Below are 22,749 nucleotides of genomic sequence, written 5' to 3'. Positions count from 1 at the left end.
TACAGTGATTTCATCAGTCTATGAAATAACCATCTACATAATGTAAATTTTATAGCCACCTCTCCAAATCAAATCCACAAGGATTCCATGGATTCTGGGCACCCTGGGGTTCAGTGCCCCCAGAATACACAAGGGACAGTCTCAGGGGACAAATCTGTGGGAGAACTGTTTGCTGGGTGCTGGAGGAACATAGCTTCTACCCTGTAGACAAAACCCAGAACCTATCTCAGGCAAAGGGCAAAGCGGAGACCACTGCCTGCAATAACTGCAGCTCCCACCCCCAGCCCTTTGGACTCTTTCATGCCAGACTCTCAGAGCCTTCCTCCTCCCAGGTCCTAACTGTGACCTTCCCTCCACCCATCAGAGTGGAGCATCTCAAACTCAGACAAACTCCTAAAGATCATCTCCTAACAAGTCTCTCTGCTTCACTTCTTGCCTCCCTTCAGTCACAGCCTGTTAATATGCAAGTCATATCATGTCTCTTTTTAGCTGGGAAAAATCCAATGGCTTCTTGTTGCAGATTGAGTTTTCTGGAACAGACTATGCAAAGCAATTTAATGTGCAGAATCTATATTTGGGAGTGCCTTCAGATCAATATCTTTGGGGAAGGAAGAATACAAGATTGGGGGAGGGAGAAGTTAAGCTGCAATGCACATCCAACCAATGACAGCCTCAGCCATCTCCACAGAGACTCTGGACCATTGTCTTCAGGGACATCTCACTTTTTTTTTCGTCATCCTCCCAACCTCCACTATCATAGAAAGAAAGATGCAGACACAAGATTCACACAATTCCCTTCTTTCTCATTATCCCAGAGCTGTGTCACACCAACAGACAGGACAATGTGACTGTTGTCTCATTAATTCTCTGATTTCATGTCTCCATGTCAATTAAATGTTTTCATATTCCTATCTGACAGCTGAGGAACAATATCAGTTCAATGCATTAAGAGGAAAGTAATTAAATATTTGTTCTGGGGTAATTGTATATAAATTGTATGACAATTGAGCTGGTGATGTAATTAATAAATTTTAATTGGAAGCCCTTTTACAATCAATGTTTAATTTATTAACAACTGTTTTGGCTTAAGTGCAAATTAAATGCTTGTCATGGGTCATCCACACCCATGAGTGCAGAACCAGCCCACTTTCTGGCTGGCTGTTATAAAACTTCTCTGCTACCAGACAGCTATGTAAGTTCCAGCAAGTCTTGAACCCTTTGGGGGACTCAGTTTTATTATCTGCAAAATAGGAATGTTGAAGAATTGTAGTGATAACTAACATGAATCTGCTGTGAATTGAATACTGTTCTAAACACACTGTGGGAAACTCATTACATGTGAATAACTCATTTAGTCCCAACAACAATGCTATAATTAGGTGCTGCTTTTATTACCCTCATTTTGTAGAAGAGGAAACTGAAGTACAGAGTAACTTTTCCAAGGCAGTGGAGGAAAAGGGATTTGGCTCTGGAGCTCAACCTGTCAACGGGTAAGACCTACTATCTCTCATTATAATTTCTAGCCCCAGTCCTTCAGACACCCAAATCCTTTCATCCCATCATCATTATTCATCCCTGCCTGGCACAAAACCCTTTGTATAGTTGAATTCTTGGCTTTGACATTTTCTGACTTGCCATTAACACCAATAATGGCCTGCCTCACCAGCTCCCACAGACTCCCTTTACCTGTGAGTATGGGTTACATTATGCTGTGATAACTAGCAGTCCCAAAATATAAATGGCTTACAACAACACAGGTTATTTCTCACTGTTTCTTGTCCAGTGTGAAAAATTATGGGACTTGTAAACAAATGTTTTGCCCTGTTTTCTAAACTTACCACCACCCACTTGCACCTTTGTTCCATGCTGTTTTCACTCAGGATTCAGGCTGACAGAGAAGGCCTACATTACTGAACTCATAACAAAGGGAAAAGAAAAGTGAAAAAGCAATAGCTGCTTCTGAGAGCTTCTTCTCAGAAGTAACGCATAAGACTCTGGCTCATATTTACTGGTTAAAACAAGCCACGTGGCTACCCCATAGTTGAATACAGTGGAGATTTTTAATCCCTCTGCAGGGAGGAGCACCAAAAGCCATATCACCAAGCCTGTCAATGGGAGTTGAAGGGAGTATCATTTTCCACTGGGTTGTGGGGGGAGGAAGGAGCAAATATTTCAAACGATAATAGAACCCACCATACACCCCTTCATTGTGCATCCTTGCTTTCTGCCTTGAGCTACATCATCATCACCTTGCCAGTGGACTCCTGCAGCACTACTCCAGGGTACAAAATTCTTTCCTTCTTATTGAAATGCTGTCTGGAAGGGCTTGGGGAATAGCCCACTATGATGATCTGAAGTCTAGAAAACAGAGCCAGCTGTTTCTTTGTAATTCCCAGCATCTCCCTACATGATACTTAAGTGCCCTTCCCCCTGACCTCCTTCCTTTTCTGCCTTCTTCCTATTCCCAGATCCTTGCCTCCCTTCTGCCAGGGCCTGCATGATAAAGACTAGGAAATTTCCATCAATTCTTTCTTCATCTTGTCAGAGGCACACAGTTCTTATAGGCCCCCTCGGGAGAAGACTGGATGATCAGAGATTTTGTAAAGAAGCATCTGTCAGATCAGTAAATGTCTCTCTCAGTGAAAATGATGATTTTTCAGAGAATAATAAGCTGGATCCCCAATGATGGCTATATCACCTTCACCTCCTGATATGGTTTAGATCTGTGTCTCTGCCGAAATCTCATGTCAAATTATAATCCTCAATGTTGGAGGTGAAGCCTAGTCGGAGGTGATTGGATCATAGGGGTGTATTTCTCATGAATGGCTTAGCACCATCCTCTTGGTGCCGTTCTCATGACAGTGAGTTCTCATCAGACCTGGTTGTTTAAAAGTGTGTAGCGCCTCCTCCTTCCCTTTGTCTCTTGCTGCTCCAACCATGTCACCTGCCTGCTCTTCCTTCGTCTTCCACCATGATTGTAAGTTTCCTGAGGCCTCCCCAGAAGCTGAGCAGATGCTAGCATCATGCATCCTGTACAGCCTGCAGAACCATGAGCCAATTGAACCTCTTTTCTTTATAAATTACTCAATCTCAGGTGATTCTTTATAGCAATGCAAGAGTGGACTAAGACACCTCCCTTCCTGCCAATCAGGGGAGTATAAGAAGGAATAAAGCATAAAAAGGATAAAAAGGTCAGAGACCTCTGCCACCTGTTTCTCAGCTATTTTCTTCAGGCCTAACCCCAATTAGGAATTACCATATTTCTCCTCTCCTCTTTGCTTCTCTCTCTTTCCTTTACTATGGCTCTTCCCATTCCCTTTGATCCTATTTTAAGCTCTTTATACTCACTTCTCATTTTCACAGTTCCCCTTCCTCCATTCCCCATATCTGCCCTTCAACCATCTCCATTTTTTCCCTTCTGGTCTCTCTCTCCCTTCTCTTTATAGAGGATGATTCTGGGAGGGAGAATGGCAGAGGAAGAGAGGGTCTCAGTTCTTGCCTCAGCTCAGCCACTAACTCTCAGTGTGGTGCTGAGAAAGCTACTGAGGGAAATTTTAGAGTCTGTCTCATCCACTGCTATCTCCTAGCACCTGGCCTGGCATATAGTAGGTACTCAATAATTGTTTCTTGAATAAATGAGTATCTGAATGAATGGATGGATGGAGTTGCCTCTAAAAAGCTCTCCAAGGAGGCTTGTAGCTCTGAGGTTTCATGATTCTATAAAATTTCCACTTCCAGACTGTCTTTTGGAACTGACAGGGCAGAGATACTGACTCAAATAGCAGTAAATGTGCAAGTGATTTTATACCTAATTGACAAACTAAATGTAGATAAATCACTGGGACCAGATGGCGCTCGCTGGAGAGTAGTGAAGGAACTCAAGGGTGAAATTGGGGAATTGTTGGCCAAACGTGTAAAGTGCTCATTATAAAGGGACGTGGTGCCAGAGAGCTAGAGAGAGCGGCTGTGCCTCCACAAAGGACCCTGGAAAGTGTTGAACAGTGAGACTGGCTGTGAAACCCAGCAAGTTAGCCAAATTTAGAATAAAGAGTAGCATCACTAGCAAAACCAGCATGCCAGGGAGGAAGGCTACTTGGTTCTATAAGAGGAAACCATTCCGGGCTAAATCTAGAATTATATGTAGGGACACATATGGTTAGTGGCTGAAGGAGAGAAGGACATGCCATTTCGAAATATGCTGGATGGGCATATTGAGTATTTCAGGTTGAAAACATTGGAGAAATTGTAGTTTCAGAAAGGGCAAGCTAACTTGTCTCTTCCTGCATTTAGCAAGCTGTAAAGATTTCTCTGGGAGGGGTACCCTCCCCATGTCAGGGTGAGAAAATGGCCCTTATGACCAGAGACTGAGAATTGGGGGCTGCAACAGACCTGAATAGAGACACTTAATGACGTAACTCTTATCATCCCACTACTTTTCGACCTTCCCCCATACTTCTCCCACTGAGTCCTCTAGAAATGTATTACTATTAGCCAGATCCCCTTTGTCCTGTTATTTTTTTCTCAAATTTATTGTTCTTTGTCTAAAAAGTATAAAAGCATCTTCCTTTGGTAACTTCTTGAAATTTACTCTTTTGCGAAGATCCTCATGTACATGAAAAACTAATGAAATTTGCTTGTTTTTCTCTCTTCAATCTGCCTGGTGTCAATCTGGTTTCTAGATCCAGCCAAAGAGTTCACATAAGAGCTAAAGAGGTGTTAGAGGTGATCCCTGGCTCCCCTGCAAGGCAAAAGGAAGCCAGTGGAGGAAATACATTTAGGTTCTCAGAATTAATGTGCTAAAATCATTTTAAAATGCAAAACAAACCAAATCATCCAAGATTAAGATGATATCTTAGAAGAAATTCTGATTTAAGATGGGGAACTATATGGGATTAATTTCTTTTAATTTTTTTTTTTTTTTTTTTTTTTTTTGAGACAGGGTCTTGCTCCATCACCCAGGCTGGAATACAGTGGCATGATCATAGCTCACTAACCTCAAATTCTCAGGCTCAAGCAATCCTCCTGCCTCAGAGCCTCCCAAGTAGCTAGGATTACAGGTATGCAACAACCACACCAGGGTAATTTTTAAAAAATATTTGTAGGAAACAGTCTCATTATGTCACCCAGGCTGGTCTCAAGGTCTTGGCCTCACACGATCTTCCCACCTCGGCCTCCCAAAGCATTAGGATTCCAAGTATGAGCCACTGTACTCAGCCACTAATAATTATGTATAATCATAAAGGTTGCTTCGACTTCTCAAAGATACTCTTGAAAGGTTGAAATTTTCAAAAATATTGTGAAATTGGCAGAAAAAATTATTAATTGTAATTTGAAAATTGATACAGAGAAAATAAATGACACCCAAGTCACACAACCAACAGGTAGAAAGTCTTAAAACTAGAATACTGGTTTCCTAACTCCCAATTATGTGTTATCTTTTAAATGAGACATTTAAGAGCTTGATACCCACAGATCATTTTATTAAACGTTTTTGTTGATGAGGAAGTGGATGTATCAGTCATCCATTGCCACAACAGTGCTATGTAACAAACAACTGGAAAAACTTAGTGGCATACAACAATAAGCATATATTGCTTATGTGATAAATGGGGTCAGTTGTGGGTGGGCTGCTTCGTTCACGTGTCTTCTGCAGCTGAGGGGCAACTCATCTAGGCCAGGCTCATCTGGTTCAGCACTATTATTCCATATGTCTCTCATTCACCTCCTGTAGTCAATGGGTTAGCCTGGACACATTCTCAAGTTGATTGCAAAGGCACAAGAACATATGTGAGAATACACAAAACTTCTTAAGATCCAGGCTTGGAGCTGGCACACCATCATTTCTGCCTTATTCTCTTGGGTAAGGCATGCCACCAGGTCAATCCCAGGGTCAAGGGGGTGGGACCGTTTATTCTACCCAATGAGGGAAGCCACTGCAATGTTACATGGCAAAGAATAAAGACTTGGGGCCATTACTACAAGCAGTCATAGAGGGCAAGTGCAGCATCATCTCTGAGTCTATAAATGACTCTAAGCTATCAGTGAGAGTTAAGTGCTAAGCAGAAAACTATATTCAGCAGGATGTGTGCATCTTCTGGATAGGGAGAAAAGTAACTAAAACTTTAGTGTGAGTATATTAAGATTAGGTTCAGCTGAAAGTAATAGAACAACCCTAAATAACTGGCTTAAACAAGATGGAATTTTAGTTCTCTCATGTAAGTATGGAGGTGAGTATACTAAGCTGGTATGGGAGCTTTGCTTCATGAAGCTTTTAGGTTCCTTTAGCTCTCTGCCCCACCATCCCTAGGATGTAGAATGCTCATACAAAAATACCCATATCTCCACAAACTTGCTTGCCATTTTAAATAGCCAAAGTAGCAAAAAAATGCATCTATTGCTACCTTCCAAATCTCACATAAGTGCTTCTGGTAGGAGGTGCAGGGAATTAATACACATCCAGAATCTTGGTTGCAAAGGAGTCTGGGAGAAGTAGTTTTAAGCTTTCTAGGATTTGCAGTAAAGGAAAATACTAGAAGTTGAGAATGAATGCTGAGAGCCACTTAGCTGAATGCACCATAGTTTGTAAAGAAGGAAGGGACATTACAAGGGGAGGGAACAGTTTTTGAAAGGATGGAGTTACAAAAGAGTATCATAGGTTTGAAGAATCACATTCCCCTGGATGGCTGTAAAGTGCCAAAAGTTGGGCAATTGCTGCTTTCTCTGCCTTTTCCTCACCACAAAATATTGACATTAAGATTCGTTTCATTGAGAAGTGGGGGAGATGGAGGGTGGCTTTCTTGTCACCTATTATTCATGTCCTGGAGGGCTAGGGAGAGAACAGATAGGGCTAGGGAGGTAAAGAACAAGGAGTTTCATTGAATCACTGTGATCTTCCCTAACCTGCCCACGTGGGGCTCTCTGTACCTCGGAGAGGAACAAATAAATGCAGAGGTACATACATTATTAAGTGTAATTACATTGTTACTTATAGGTTCAATTAAATACTCTGGACATTTTTATAACAATTTGAGGTGTGATGCATGGAGTAATGGCACTAACCTTTAATCATAGTTCTTCCCCTTCAAAATTCAGTAATGACCCTATCAATTAGTAATGAAATGATTCAATAGGAATAGAAGGCACCAGCTGATGCTTCCTTTTACTTGGTCATCTCCCTAGATTTAAATGTGGCCTTTTGACCTTCCTCTCTAAAGGAAACACATCTTGGGGTGTGGGTGTGGGGTGGGGGGATGGTGGTGAGAGGGAAATGCAGAATTTTCTCCAGCCTCCTCTCTCCCAGGGGCACAAGGCAGAGAAATGGATAGAATGAGTATTGTGTAATCTGGTATATGCAGTGTTCAATCCTGGGATGTTTATTTGCTCCTTTGGTTATTGATAATTTTCTCTTCTGGGGACCAGTATTTGGGGATGCAGGGTGATAATGAGTTATGCAGTTCTGAGCAGCTTTGGGGCCTTACTGGAAGCAGCCCAGTCCTGACCATCCCTTCTACTCATTGCCTGCTCCCACCTCCCAATGCCCTCCCAGAATCTCAATGGGCTTTCAGAGGCTGCATTCACCCTCATACGCTGTGATGTCTGAGGCTGACACACTGTGCTTCCACATGGTCATCCATCTGCTCTTCCCTATAGTTTGATCTAGGTTTACTGGGGTCCCATCTGTGTCCAGAACTATGAGAAGCACTGAGACAATGAAGGCAAGTATCATTGTCTTCAGAGAACACTGTCAAATTCACCCATAAACTGTGATGCAATAACGGACGGACAATTACTATAACATAGAGAAAAATGGGTCTAGAAGAAGCTGAGAAGAGAGGCAGCTGCCTCAGCCTGGTGGACAGTTTCATGGAGGGCTTCCTGGAGAAGGTGACACCCAAGCTGAGTCTTTTAGGTTAAGTGAACACCTGAAGAAATGGGCAGGGGCAGGTATTCCAAGCATAGGATACACTGTGAGAAGTGAAACCGCCCCTTGATGCTCCTCTGTATCATTAATCCAGTGTAGTGCCCCATACATTGCCATTCACCATAGGCTCACCTGTACACATGGAGATCACCCCAGAGTCTGCTTGCTTGCCACTCTCCACCCCAACCCAGTTCCTGACTCTTGGATCTGGCTTGGATTCAACATCTCGCTCTGGCCCCTGTAGCCTCTGTGCCTGTATCAGAGTTCTCTGGTCAGGAACCTGTGGTTACAATCAGTGACTCCCATCAGGGTTCTCCCTACCAGCTTCCTTCCCTGCCCTGCTTCCTTGCGTGGTTCACCTTCTGTAGTTCCTGCTCCCTTGAGCTGCATCTCTAGCTTGGGCTCACCAGTTAGCCCAACCAGCTACCTCCAATTTGAAGAGACAGGACCACACCACAGTATGTCAGCCCACATATATATTGTGCCAAGAGTCCATTTAGCCACCCAGTTGCCCCTCACCCCCACCCTATACCTATTGTAACTCCTTGGCCTGACATATCTCTGGCATATGCCCTCTTTTCAATTCTTCAGGATGGATCAAACTTACAGAGCTGTCTTGGTATTAATTAAAATACACGTGTAGCTGCTTGAACTGAAAGACTGACTAATAATGGCTTAAACAACATAGTTGTTTATTTTTCTGTCATGTAAATGTCTCTGTGACTCATCTAGACATCTCTGTGACTCCTCTAGTGCTGGCAGGCTGCTCCATAGTCACTGGAACCAGGCACCTTTTATCAAGCTTCAGCTCCTGTCTGGTGGGTCCAGATGACTGCCCCAGCTATGCCCTCTCAGGGAATGCAGGGCCACTCCTTTTAAGGACAGAGAAGGTAATCTGCTCACATCTCTTCTGCCTGTACATCAAACATCAGCACTGAGTCATAAGGTGCACAGAGGCTGGGAAATATATTCTGGTGGCCGAGTGTGCCCAATTATACATTTTATGTAAAAAGAGAAAAACGAGTTTGCATGGACAAGTGGTAGACTCTGCCATCATCTTTATAAATCTGCAACTCTGGGCCTCCCACGACTGATCAGGATCCAGAAGCCCTGATAATCTTTTGCCTCCAGCCTCTCAGTCTCTCTTCTCACCTTCAGTTGTTCATTCATTCAAAATATATCCACAACTATTAATAGAAAGTGCTAGGCCCTAGGGTTTGGTCATTTCCCTGAAGTTACCCATTGCTGCAAGAACAGACAAGTTATGGATATAATTGCAAAAGTTGTCTAAAAACGAGTTGTCCCACTTCATAAAAAGGGTACAGATAAAAGCCTGCAGGAATTCAGAGAATGGAGAGTTATTTCTGGAAGTATCAGGGACCTTCATGGAGGAGGTGGTGGTTGAGTTGGGCATTAGAGGTCAAGTATGATTTGCAGGCTCATGCATTGGGTTGGGTGACACTTCACTTTTCTTGATAGAGCTTTTAGCAAGGATGCAAGGAACATGTGTCTTCCCTGCAGTTGAGAAACCAGGCACGGCAGGGAGAAAGACAGCCACCCCAATAGGCTCTGGTGCCTGCAACAAAGCCATCTGTTACTGAAGGAGTTCAAGGAAGATCACAGAATTTGGGCTAAACCCTATGCTAGGCTCTCTGCGGACCTAGGCATAGGCCCTGGCTTCAAGCTGTTTATAATCTTAGGGTTTACAGTGGCAGCTGGATAATTGTTAGCTGTTCTTATTCATTATTATCATCAAGGAGAAGAAAAGAAGAGAGAACTTTTGTTAAGTGCTTAAAAAAGGGTATAGCTACCCTGGAAGAGAAATGATTGTTGTGGATTGATGTGATCAGGGTGATAGAATCTCAGATGATCCTTGAAGGATGAGGATTTTGAAAAGTGAAAACGAGTCCATGAGGAACTGTGAGGCAAACAATGCTCAGCGGAAATGGATGTTGTAGCCCCAGGAGTCACTTGTATCTTAGTTTGGATTCTCCAAAAGCAGAGACTGAGAAAAGACTTGTGTGCAGGGAGTTTGCATAGAAAGTAATCCCAGGGAGCAGGAGCAAAGGACGGGGGAAGTAAATCAGGGAAGGAGGGAAACGCATTAATGATGTGCTGCTCAGTGGGCCCTGCTGCAAGTCTCTTGTCACCGGGCCCTTATGCAGTGCATCTCAGCCCCGCACAGTGGGCAACAAGAGGAGGAGGCCTTGATTCCTATCGCTACTGGTCAAGGGTGTTAATTCCCCAGGAGCTGTCAAGTTGTGCCCATCAGGGAGCCCAGTGGTTCCCCGCAGGCATCCCATACCTCAGCACCAGAAAAGCTGGAGGGCAGGAATCCAGGGTGTGCAATGGAGGCAAATGTGAGGCAGTGTCAGGGTGCACAGACACGAAGGTGCTCTAGGACTGCATGGAACAGGCCACTATGGCTGGGGCTGGGGTAGGGGTGGCCAAAGGAATAAGAAGCGGTGCCCAAGAGGTATTCAATTCCAGAAGCTGGAGAAATTCCTCTGAAATGAGAGCATCTCAAGTGTCTATAGATTGGGGACAGTAATTCAGCTTGTACAGACAACAGGAGCAAGAAATAGGGGAATGACTGGGGAGAAGAAATGGAAGAGGTGGTAATATATGTGATGTGCCACCACCCCTCCATGATTTACACTAGACCACCTCCAATGAGAGGGCTAAAGTGTGTGACTACAGGGATGGTAAGGAAAAATGGTGGTAAGAAAGGGGGTGCTGTACCCCTCCTAGGCACATGCCCAGAGACAAGGAAAGCCCTAAGGGGCAGAGAAGGCAAGGCTGGCATTAAGAGCCAGAAATAAATACTGAACAGTGGGTGAAACTGTAGCATTTTCTGACATGAGAACAGGTTGGGTTCCCTTTCTGGGGCTCAGCTTCCTCACCTTAGAGGGGTTGGATCCATGTTCCATTCTCACTTCAGAATCACTGACATAAATTCTTCAGAGTTCCTGGAGCCAATACAATCAGGAGATATAAGCTTTGAATAGAGTCCAGAGCCATGTGTCTTGAACTGATCTTTATATAAAATTACATTGATATGATTTGCAAGGTGGTAGGAGGGGGTTCACTTGGTAGGAATAATATTTCATGCAAAAGTTTGGAAGTTTAAGGAGGAAGAGGATGGCACATTAATAAGAACTAACAGTGATTGCACTTACTGTGATCCAGACACTATTCTGAGCCCTTTATATGAGTTCATTTTCTTAAACCCTGCGACAACCCCATGAGGAAGATGCATCTGGGAGGTGTGCCTGGAGAGAGGGAAGCATAGAAAAATAAAAGAATTGGATTGTATTCCTCATTGGGTGATCAGATAGCAACTTGTTTCTTACCTCTGGGTCTGTTTCCTAATGTGCAAAATACAGCTAGGTGCACCACTGGTGAAGATTAGTACTCCTCTTCAGAACAACATTTTCCAGAGCATCTGGCCCATAGTAGTTGCTCAATTAGTGGTACACAAGCAAGCAAGTGAGTGAGCAAGAGAGACACTTTGGCTACATAAATATTGAAAGTTCCAGGATTTTTCAATGCTTGACTGAAAGTAAGAGGAAGAAATGTTTAAAATCAGAACCATCCTCAACTCCAAAATATATTAGCTTAGGTTGCCCATAGCATTTTATGTATTTATCAAACAAATATCTATAGGGTGCCACACTGTGCTAGCTTCAGGGAAGGCAACACTGAGCCAGGCAAAGTCACTGATGTCACAGAAATTAGTCTTTATGGGAGGTGTCATTAATCAAACAGCCCTGTATGTAAATGAATAATTGAAAACTAATGTGTTATGAAGGCAAAATTTACGAGTCATGGGAGGAGACTTAGAGGAAACTGTTTGGTGTAAAAGGGGCAGGGGACAGTGGATACCCAGAGGAGGTGACATGAAGAATGAGTTGGAGGTGCCAGGTAAAGAGCTGAGGGGAGAGGAGGGTATTCTAGGAAGGAGGGCAAGGTCAGGTTTTTACTTCCACCTAAGAGTTGTTACAAGAAGTGAGGATAGAGTGGAAGTCAGATCCTTAATCCTGAGTGTGTGGGGAAGCCACTGAGCAAGTTAGGTAGCTAGGAGAGTTGGCACTATCTTTAAAATGTCACCCTGGTTTGAATGAGGAGAAAGATTAAAAGGAAAGCAGTGAGGATAGCATGATTTTGCAAATCTTTGGGCAAGGCACAATTGTGCCAAATATCATCTTTTTGCCGCTCCAGATTCACTCGCGACCCTTCTGTGTCTTGGGAAGCTGACCTTGACTTCCATCAATGGGCTCCTGTCCCCTCTGGCTTCCACTTAGGTTTGGTCCAGAGGGAGCACCAAAACGCAATAGGAGGGAGTAGAGTAAGGTTGAGGTATTTATCCCTCACCTCAAGTCGATGCAGGCAGGCCATGTCCCTTGCTTCCTTAAGCTAAGGTTGCAGCTTGGAATTACAGCTTTGTAAATTGTCCCTTTGTTAACTTCTCAACAAATTACCCAATTTGAGTGTGTCTTCTAGTGTCCTGCCAGGATCCTAACTGATAGTGACGGGGGATTGAACTAAGGTGGTGACTGTGGAGTTGGAGAGAAGTGAACAGCTCAAGAGGGAGTTAGGAGGAAACTGAATTCTGTTGATCAGTTGGCTTACATCATCATTTATAAAATAAATAATGGATGTTGTTTCTTTTGTCAGTTTAGATGCTCTGGGAAGCAGACATCAACATAGAAGTGAAAGATTTTTTGAGGGGAAACTCCTAGGAAAGATGAGAGAGGGAGGAGGCATAGGCAGGGAGAGTTCAGACTGTGATGGATGTCTGACCCCTGAGGAAGAAGAGTGGAGAAGGAAGGAGAATCAGGACGAGACTCAGACTGCAGTGCACCTCCCAGGTGATGGTGAGCCCTAGAGCCTCCCTATTAAGGAAGTCCCACCTTGAGCAGAAGTGGCCCAGCTCCAGTACTCCTGCCATGTGCTGTGGACTGGGAGCAGCCTGGGGAAGACTGTGACCTTGGTGTGAGCCCTCCCATGGATCCCAAAGGCAGACTCTTGCAGCAGGTTCTAGAACTTGAAGAGCAGCATACCACCATTAGAGACTGCCACAGTTCTCCAATGGGACTATATCATCCTTAGGGCACTGAAATAGTGCAAGGTATATCATGGGAACTCAGCCCTGGAATGAACTCAGCAAGGGATGCAACTTTACATACCTATGGGGAGATACAAGCAAGGGCATGCCCTGTGAAAACCAGTCTGTGGAAGTAATGTCACCAAATCTAAATTTTAAAATCCTGCCATAGCTGATTGAAATTGGTTGAAGCTGGTTTAGCTCTCCATTCAGTGCCAGTACCACTTATAAGGACTGTCATCATGGGCTAAGGGTCACCCTGTGGAGAACAGACCTTGTTTTCCCCCACAGAAGGTCAGTCATGTATGTACATTTTGCTTGGTGGCAGTGGAGATCAGACAAACCTGGGCTTACCTTTCAATTCTGTTACTGACTAGTTATGAGCTCCTAGGCCAAGCTGACCTCTCTCATCCTCAGATTCCTCATTGTAACAATAATTTATTGAACATCTAATATATGCTAGACAATAGTCCATTCTGGGAGTGTTATAAACATTATATAGTTAACCTTCGTTTGACAGGTGAGGAAACAGTTTCAGAGAGGGTCAGTGACTTGCCAACAGTCACAGAGCTCAAAAAGGACGGGATTAAGAATCAAACCAAGGTCTGTTTGATGACAAAGCCCATTCTCCCTATCTCTCTACTGTCTCCAGATAGATTCAAGACAAGCATCAGAATCCAAGGCTGTGAACCTCTCCATGGGCTTCCAGTATCATTTTCTCAACTGTTTTTCTCATCATCTTTGAAAACGTGCCTGGCATGTGGTAGGACACAGTGAATGCTACTCACTTCTCATTTCCTTGCTTCTCTCACTCTCCATTTCTCTCTCCTCTGTGGTTCCTTGTCTTTCATTCACCTCCTCACAAAAATCTTCATTCTTTTGCCCCCTCATCCTGACAATGTCCCTTCCTCATCTCCACCACTCCACTCCCTCTACCCTCCCCCTTGCTGGGCCATACTCTTCAGACATCTCATTAAAGTGTTGACCTGAATTCCTATTCCAATGCATCTCTAATTATGCTCCACAGGAAACTCTAGGGGATTCAAAACAGACTCTTAATCTATTCCACATGGATCAAAAACAACTCCCAAGAAAGCAGTTTAATAGCCACGATTAACAGAATGCTGCTTGGCTGTCCATGGGAGATGTTCCAGCCCAGCACTGCCCACCTCCCTGCCATTAGTGCTCAGAGACATCACAGGTCCCCTCAAAGATGAATAAGGCGTTAGGGTTTAATTTAGTTTTCCCAGTTAATTAACTGGATCAGAAGATAGCTGGTGAATTTAGTGAAAAGAGTTCCTTTGTTTTTTCTCTTTCTCCTCTGGGCACGAGGACCCTACTCAGGCCTGGCAACTTTGGTTTGTCACTCACCTCAGCTCCGAGGTCAGTTTTGTCCACAAGCACGAATCATGTCTGTTTGTGAATATTGCACCATGTTAGCGGTGCAAGACTGGAGAATTCCCTTTATCTACATCCACTTTCTGTTAACCCCAAGAAATCCTTCTTTCCTCTCTCTTTTCCACAAAATGCCCACCCTAAGACTTCGCTTCATGGATGCCAGTGTCTGGTATTGCAGGAAAGCTCCATCAGCTTAGGTGATCTAGCTGCTCAGTCTATGGAGGGTTCTGACAAGGGTGTGGATGCCAGCACCTTCTGCCAGACAGCCCCTGAGCAAAGGGTTTTTCCCACGGTGAACCTGGAGGAACACACCACGGTATTTAACCTTTGCTCTCTCTTGGAGCATTTCTGATACTAGGGTGGGAATAACAAGTTCTCCTGCCACAGCCCATGGTGCACAAAAAGCCACCTTCTGTGTATTCCCACAGTCTTCTGGCTGCCCAGGCCTGCCCAGTGAGGCTCTGAAACTTGCTCGTTCCACACCCCAGTTCCCTCCTTTAAAAGGCTTCTGCCTACACTATCATCCTACTCAGTCTGGAGATTCACTTTAGGGTCACAAACCGATCCAGCTGAACAGGCTGATAATGGACACCCCACACACATCTGTGGCTCACTGGCTGAGGAGGTGGTGGGGTGACGGTGTACTGCGAAAATCAAGACTAGCCAGCCCCCTCTTAAACTGTTACATTTCCCCTTCCAGGAAAAACTGCTTATTTGTGGGAGCTGCTGGAGAAATTCAACTCTAAAAGAGCAACTAACAGAGAATATTTGGATAAACGTAACAGGGTAACAGAAGCAATTTCTTGGAAAGAAACTTTTGAATACCAGCTCTTTAGTATTACGCCACCTTACCCGAAGACACAAATCCTGGAGGTGCTTATTAAACCCACAGACTCCTAGGCCCTCCCCCAGGACGTTCTAAATCATTATTTCCAGGGAAAAGCCCTGAAACTCGCGGATTTTTAGGCACTTCAGGTGATTCTTAACAGGGAAGTAGGGCGAACCCAACGGATAATGATATATTCTTTTCGGTGAAAAGGCTCAGGCTCGTTTTCCAATCACTGCAGCTGCCGGGGGTGGGAAGCTAACTTTCTTTCTCGGGCTGTCTATAGCCAGGCAATAAACCTCCACTTCTCCTTGCTGCTATTGGTCATGTGGACCAGGAAATGCTTGGAGGGGCTGGTAACTAGCTGTTGATTGAGAGCGAGAGAGCCAATGAGAAACCAAAGGAGTAGCTGCTCACCCAGAGTGCTTTGAGGCAGGGGGGTGGGACTTAGCCTTCACCGTCTAGAAAAGGGCGAAGGGCGGCACCAGCTGTTGCTGTCTGCAGTCGGAAGGGCTTGTGGCTGGTGGAAGCTGAGTGGGCGGTTGTGTGTGTTGGGTGCTTTCCCTGGGTTGTAGGGAAGAAAGTAGGGAGAAGCTGGGGAGTGTTGTATAAAGCCTTTCTTTCTTTCTGTCTTTCTAATAGAGGAATGTTGTGGGAAAAGAGGTGGGGGGCAGGGCGGGGAATGGTGGTTTCTGAAAGCCGACCTCTCTGAATTTTCCTGGGTGGGAAAGGGAGTTGGGGGGCGGGGGTAGGGGAGAACGGTGGTCTCTTAAAACCAACCTCTCTGAATTTTCCTGGGTGAGTTTCTTCTGTTTGTGTAGTAAGCTGCAGTACATGAAGCAGCCTCCCTCTGCCGGCCTCATTCATGTGACTTGCAGGGCCCTAACGTGCAAGCTGGCTGATTAAAGGCAGGAGCCCTTATTGGGGTCTACTAGAATCCTGTCCTTTATTAAACCCCCTGCTTTTTTGTCTCCTTACTTACAGGAGAAACTGTCGTGGGGACTATATAACTGGGGAAAATGCCTAAAACTCCCATGATAACTAAAAGTGTACTAAGGAAAGCTTGCTTTCTCCCTCCCATGAGTGAACCTTCTTTAGGAGTGGGTTGCTTAGGATAAGTGGCCCTATGGAGTGAGGAGGCTAGCTCTGCTAGCGTCCTTAAAGCTATAAGATTTTCTAGGCAATAGGAAGGGGGTGTACAGATAGGCCTGAACTACTGCATAGGAACTTGGGGTGACTTGCTGTCTCCGACTCACAGAAACAATTCAAAAGCTTCTAGCAGGCAGTGACTTATTGGCATCTTCTAAGATGACAGATGAGACTTTCCTGCTCTCACCAACATCCTTGTACCCTTGAGCAAACCCGTAGCCTGGCTTCTGTGACCAGGTCTTGGGGATGGTGGCCCCTTACTTCCTTTTCTATCCCTTAAGCCTTTTGATACACTCCCTCAGAAACGAGCAGCTACAGGGTTGCTCTGAAGAAATCTTGTCCTAAAATCTCTTCCCACCACTGATAAAAATGGGAACAGGTGTGCTATTGCAAAAGCCAGACAGAAACGTGAATTTGAATCTGCCAAAAATCTCTTAAACCTGAAGACCCACGTCTCCTACAGCTGAAGATAATAAATACCTAATGTGGGTTGAACTGGAACACCAGATGATAGTTACAGTATCAACCTTTAAGAACTACGGTTTTCCCTTATGGGTGTTGCTCAAATCCCTTCCTCGGGCACTGCCCTGGGGATGGATCCTAAGTAGGGACTGGACTGACAGGAATTTCTCTAATAGAAGCATAACTAAAAAGCTCCCAGAAACTCCCTGATGGCTTAGGCCTGAGATACCATACTCGCCTACCTCACCTAAGGGGAGTTCGGAGCCCACAGCTGTGACAGTAATGGCCTGACATGCCATCCTCTACCTGGATGAGAGTTCCTCCACTAATCTAGAGCTACACGTGGGTGCTCTCCCTGGCAGTTCCCAGGGATGGGCTAGAGTGCAGTACTTAATGCAGTATATTGGCAGAGACAAAATTCAGGTGCACTAAGGGTCAGAGCATAGCTAATCTGGAGGGGGGACCCATTATCAAACTCAAACAGGCTGAAGGCTTTAGAGAAGCAAATAAAGCCTAAATACGCACAAAGGGAACGTTGGGGAGTTGATAGGCGGCTGGCCTGGGAAGCAGGAGAACCAGGGGCCTGGAGGTGGCTCAGCCCACTGAACTGGGAAGCTGTGTGGGAAGTGTTGGACTGCCTTGAAAACTGGGCAAGGGGCAGTCAGTGTGGAGTCTGCCTAGCCATGATCTAGTTTAAGGGCCACGAACTTAAAACTCCTTAAAATATCTCTTCTGGAGGCCATTTGAAGTGCTTCGGGAACAATTACTTTCAGATTACAGGTAGGAGTGCCTGAGTCTGGATTCAGGATTAGATCTACTTCTGTCATGGAACTACTGTTTGACCAGGGCATCAATCTCGGGTCCTGTATGTGGAAATAACTTCACAGCAGTGTAATGTGATAGTGGTTGGGGGATATGAGCTTGAGTTCACCTGGGAGCTATTTAATGGCTCTAAACTCAGGTGAGTAACAACTGGAAAAGTGGCTTAAGCTGAGGATTGTGATTACACAATTGTGGATATAGTGCAGCGCACATTTTAGTACGTGCTCAGTAAATGTTAGCTGGTAGAGTACTCCTACTCTGAGCTTGTCACAGGTGTCTTAGCACCTGCACTCTTCCTGCAGCATGGCACTCCTGCTCAATTGGTAACAAATATGTCACTCGAACCTAAGTGCCTTATACCTCCTTGTAGCCTGGCAGGCTCTAAATCTAGCTGTGGTGCCCGATTGTCTGCTTAGCACTCACCTATCCAGACCTTACACCTAGAATCGTATGACCCTGTTCAAGTGTCTTCAGATATCAAATGTCCTTTCTTTAAGGCATGGATGAAAAGTTGCTTAGCTTCTCAGGGTTCCCAAAGTATGGCTGGTGATAAACAATCTTGCAAGGTCAAACCTGGGCCAGTAATCCAGGACGGTTCACATAAACTGCATTAGCTGCTTTAATGAAAGATTCCATCTAGAGGAATAGAATTACTCTCAGGTTGAGGAAGGCTTGCTAATTAGTCTACAGGTGCTACTCGCTGCAACATTGAACTGTTGGCCTCACGGTTGTGTAGCCATGGCTGTAACTTATGAGTAAGGGCTGGGGAGATGGCCAGGAATTCATACAGACTTTCAGCTCTAACACTTAATTTAGCAGAAGTTCCTGGGGACAGGCAAAAAGGCAAGGTGGAGGACAAGTGACAGTGACTTAAACCCAGGTCCCTGTAGGTGCCTAAAATCTTACATGGCTGAGTCTTTGAGCCTGGAAGCTATGATATGGATATGGAACCATGTCAGGTGAGGGATGTTGGGCTCTGCCAAGCTCAAATATGAAGCTCACAGAATTTGAGAGTTCTAGTTCTGAGGGTCCCGGCCTGCTCAGCTGATATATAGAATGTGTTGATTGCAGAAGCAGACTTGTGATGCGGGTGAACTTAAGGCTGTTGGTTGTTGCTCTGATAATGAGCTAGTTAACCCAATTTTCTAGGCTTTCTGTATCCTATTTTATTCATGCCAGAAGAACTGCTGTCAGATGGCTCCAGAACTAGGTAGAACACAATTTCTGGACTTTCTACAGGGAAGCCACTCATGACAAAGCTTGGCTTCCAGCCTTTCCCTAATAGACCCTCAGTGGCAGGGAAGTGTGTGATGGGCCATATGGCCAAAATGCTCAGGTCACACGCTTTTGGGGCCAGATATAGCTTTGGCCTGGATCCTGCCACATTTCTTGTCTTGGATGAGTTACTTAAGCTCCTCCAAAAGCTGAGAATCTGACTTGTTAAAATAAGTATCTCTGGGCCATGAGGCTTCAGTGGTGATTAGTAGGAAGCTGGGCATACTGCCAATTCTGTAACTAGCTAACTATTGACTGATGGCCCTGTACTCCCTCCACTGCCTAGATCACTTGGCTTCAGTTCCAGGTATGGTGGTTTGTGGGAGGCTCCCCTCTGCGCATAGCCCCATGCCTCGAGTGTAAGCTGTCCTCAAGGCTTGGCAGCATCTTCCTCTTCCATGTTTGTTCCTAGTGTCCCATCCTTTGCCACTAAATTGTGTAGCCTTTGGGTAACTCATACTTGTCCTGGAATTGAGTGAGCAGCAGTGGGAAAAGGGGGCTTATATGGCTGGCTCTCCAAGTGGAGGCCTCTGGCAAGAATGTTCTTGGAAGGCCCTGGCTATAGGGACTCCCACTCCTCAGCCTGCTTGTCACAACCCATGTGTTCCTATAGAGATGGCCAAGTGGCTGAACACTTGGCTACTCCTTTCCTTTCTGGTCCATCAGACTCCCTTCGTGGACCTGGGGGTAAGGTTTGGACTAGCTCATAGCCTGCGTAGCTTGGCCTTTCCCAAGAACTGTAGCACCATGATAACCCAAGCTCTGGGCAACTTGAAAAGAGTATAGAGTCTTTCATAAAAGTCTCAATCTAAAAGGTAGCCCAGGGGAAGAAATGGTGCCTTCTGCCATACTTTGAGTTATTTCTGTGAGAAACCTTAGGTGAGAGCAGACCCTGTCTTGATTCACTGGACTGTTCAGAATCACTTGTCAGTCCCTGATCCTGTCTACTGCTCTGGGATACCCCAGAGTCACTTTCCTTTGCAGAAGCTCTGCGGCAGGGCTTGATGCTTTATCCTAACCACTTTCCAAGAGATCAAGTGTCTCCCAGTAGACATGAAAACAGAGCTGGCCTTTTCCAGGTCCCCATAATCTCACATACATGTAAACTTGGCAATCGTTTATTTCTGTGTTCTCATTAAGAAACCTTAATTGGCAAAGAATAAACCCATAGACAGATCTTTTACTTCAAGATGAAAACCCCAAAGAAGTCTCAGTTCCCTACAATGGCTGTATTCATAATTTCAGAACAAACGAATTTTCCTACTTCAACTCCTGAACATTAAATTTTTCACAATCTTGTCTAGAAAGGAGCATATTAGGGGATGTTCCAGGATTTCTACTCATCTTACCCTTAATGATAACCTCAAACTAAAAGCTTCATATCCAGACTGCCAGTAGCTTGCTTTTAAGTTGAATTTCACTTTAGGAAGGCCTCCTTTGGTTAACAGAATGAAACCTGTAGGACAAGTTTAGGCTTCTATCTTAAAGGGAAACTTAATCTCTAAGTTTCAATGACAACTTGCTGAACCATCAACCTTACTGACTTCTTGATGCTCTTATTATAAATTAACCTTAACTGGACTTCTGTTTTTGTGCCCTGACATAGAGAGAGCTTTATAAGTTCACTTCTGACCTTCAAGATAAACCAAATCAGATCTTCCTGGATCCATCAGAACTTGGATTATAGGGAAAACTTCTCTCCTGAAAACTGGAGGGACAGGGCTACAGGGTTATAGCTTTTCAGAAACAAAAAGCCTGGCTGGGACCAGCAACCAATCAGTAGAAGGGTCTGGGGCCCCCAAGAGAAGCAGCCAGCCCAACAGGGCAATAACATTTTCTGGGAGATCTATCTTGCCTAGCCAGGAAAGACAAACCCAAGCCTTGCTTGCAGGAAAAGTAGGAAAGTGTCAGCCTAAGGACCCATGAACCTCACCTGCCCTTATTCTGTCATCATTGCATATGGCTGGAGTGGGATGGGGAAACACGATCAATGAAGGGGGCACTACAAGAATTTGTTCTGAAAGCTCTTATAGAACTTGGAGTGCACTTAGACTTCTTTCTATTGTGCTTTGGGCAGTCAGTTCTGTTTCTGGTTTCCAACTAGTGGTCTTCCATGTTCTCTTCTGCCTTGCTACATAAGAAAAGTAGAGCTGAAGTTTTTAATCCTCAAGTATAGTTGCCTTGTGTTGCTGGAGTAATCTTGAATCTTGGATTTCTATTCACCAGTTGCTACTGTTTGGATAGGTGAAAGTTGAGCACAGATCTTCAGCATAATTTAGAAGTTTGTCAAAGCTCTTCAAGACTAAGTTCTCCCTTCTGGCTCACTGCTTAAAGTTCTTTGTCCATTGGAAGTCGTGTGTATTACCTGACCTGGTCCCTTAGACTTGAGTCCTCCAGGGAGGAGACATGGCCTCTTCAAATACAGATCACTGATACCTTGCCATAGGTGTAAACTTTAATTCCAATTCCTATGTTTCAGAACGAAATGCGACTGACTCCTAAATGCTCTGCCTCAGCTTGCTGTTCGGATAGTTCACAATAAATGGTTTTCACTGGGAAGATTCCATTAAAGGGCAAGGTTTCCCTAACCTGCCCGATTCACCTAAGTCAGACTTCTAGTGACATTTGCTTAATGGGTAGGAATGGTAGGGAAAGGGGAGGAAAACGAAGTCATATTCCGTAGTGAATCCTGTTAACTTAAACAGCCACACGTCTTGTTCCTGAGCTGCTACCTAAGGCCCGTTTTATACCTTTGACATACATGATCCCCTCTTCCTGGTCAGGAATGCTTATCCCATTATCTAGGCAGGGCTTGAAAATGGGACAGCTAACAGACTGAGGAGCCAGTCCACCCTTTGTCTAGTGACTATCCTAATGATAGGCCTGTCATGGTGCCATGTTCCTCATGACTTGAAGGAATTAAACTTCAGAATAAACCAAAGGACCCTAAAGATGATATGACTGCTTTCCTTCCTAACAATGGAAGACTCAATTATAGGGACACCTATGCAAAGACAGGCCAGATAGCAAACCCCATCTTTGAACTTTCATCGATAAGGGGATCTTGTAATCCTATGGCGTAGGGTAACTTCTGTAACTCCTTAAGGTCCATATTTCTCAGCTAAGACTTAAAAAACCAGGATGATTCTGGCCTATCTTCACGAATAAACTTTCAAAGGCCCTGTGGCAGCTTATGTTTGGGGGGTTAATTGGAGCAGGGGATGGGGAGCTTTGACTTATGCTCCTCAGAATCTCACAGATCTCCTGAAACTTAATTTTATTCCTCCTACAGAATTCACTGACTTAATCCTTACCTTCTCTAGAGAAGAGGAATCTTCCTGACACTCGGGAGTAAATGTAACCCTTACTTCGATGTGCTTAATCCACGCAAGGCTTCAGTTCAGTTTTTTTCTTTTTACTTCCATTTGCTCACCATAGGCAAATATTCTAGTTCATATATTGGCATGTAAAATGTGATGTCGGATGCATGTTCGACATAAGTGGACTTAGATCTTGTCCGGTCTAGCTTAGCACATCTCCCTACTTACATGCTCCTTGTGTAATGGACACCTAGGCTGATTCCTACTGCCATAGGTAATACAATAATGAAGTAGAATGGATAAACTTCCTTTCTCAGGCAACTTATAGTATCCTTATGGAGGGGCCTAGCTTTTCTCACTTCTCTAGAGTTGCTCAGTTCGACCTAAGTCTCTTGAGCCATCATTGCCTTAGGACCTCATGTGCACATACATACAAGGGTAGGCTCTGCTTACTGTCATTCACTACTAG

The 22,749-nt window shown here is 44.6% G+C and overlaps 1 long non-coding RNA gene across 8 annotated transcripts; it reads right to left on the bottom strand.

The window, feature by feature from the left end:
* Nucleotides 1-8,513: 8,513 nt before the first annotated feature.
* On the bottom strand, nucleotides 8,514-15,553 carry LOC105375049 (uncharacterized). 8 transcript variants are annotated; one of them, XR_926780.2, is made up of 7 exons: nucleotides 15,279-15,553; nucleotides 14,400-14,441; nucleotides 12,835-12,967; nucleotides 11,275-11,477; nucleotides 11,101-11,193; nucleotides 10,825-10,890; nucleotides 8,514-8,835 (listed from the first exon to the last, which is right to left on the bottom strand). It is a non-coding gene; the product is annotated as an uncharacterized LOC105375049 (long non-coding RNA). The 8 variants fall into 8 exon arrangements; XR_926777.4 differs by having other exon boundaries at nucleotides 14,400-15,553; XR_001744114.1 differs by having other exon boundaries at nucleotides 12,835-14,441.
* Between the last annotated feature and the right edge of the window lie 7,196 nt (nucleotides 15,554-22,749).

The sequence above is a fragment of the Homo sapiens genome, chromosome 6 (assembly GCF_000001405.40).
Source record: "Homo sapiens chromosome 6, GRCh38.p14 Primary Assembly".
Lineage (NCBI taxonomy): Eukaryota > Metazoa > Chordata > Mammalia > Primates > Hominidae > Homo > Homo sapiens.
Note: the sequence above shows the minus strand (reverse complement) of the source record. Positions and strands in the feature narration are given on the sequence as shown.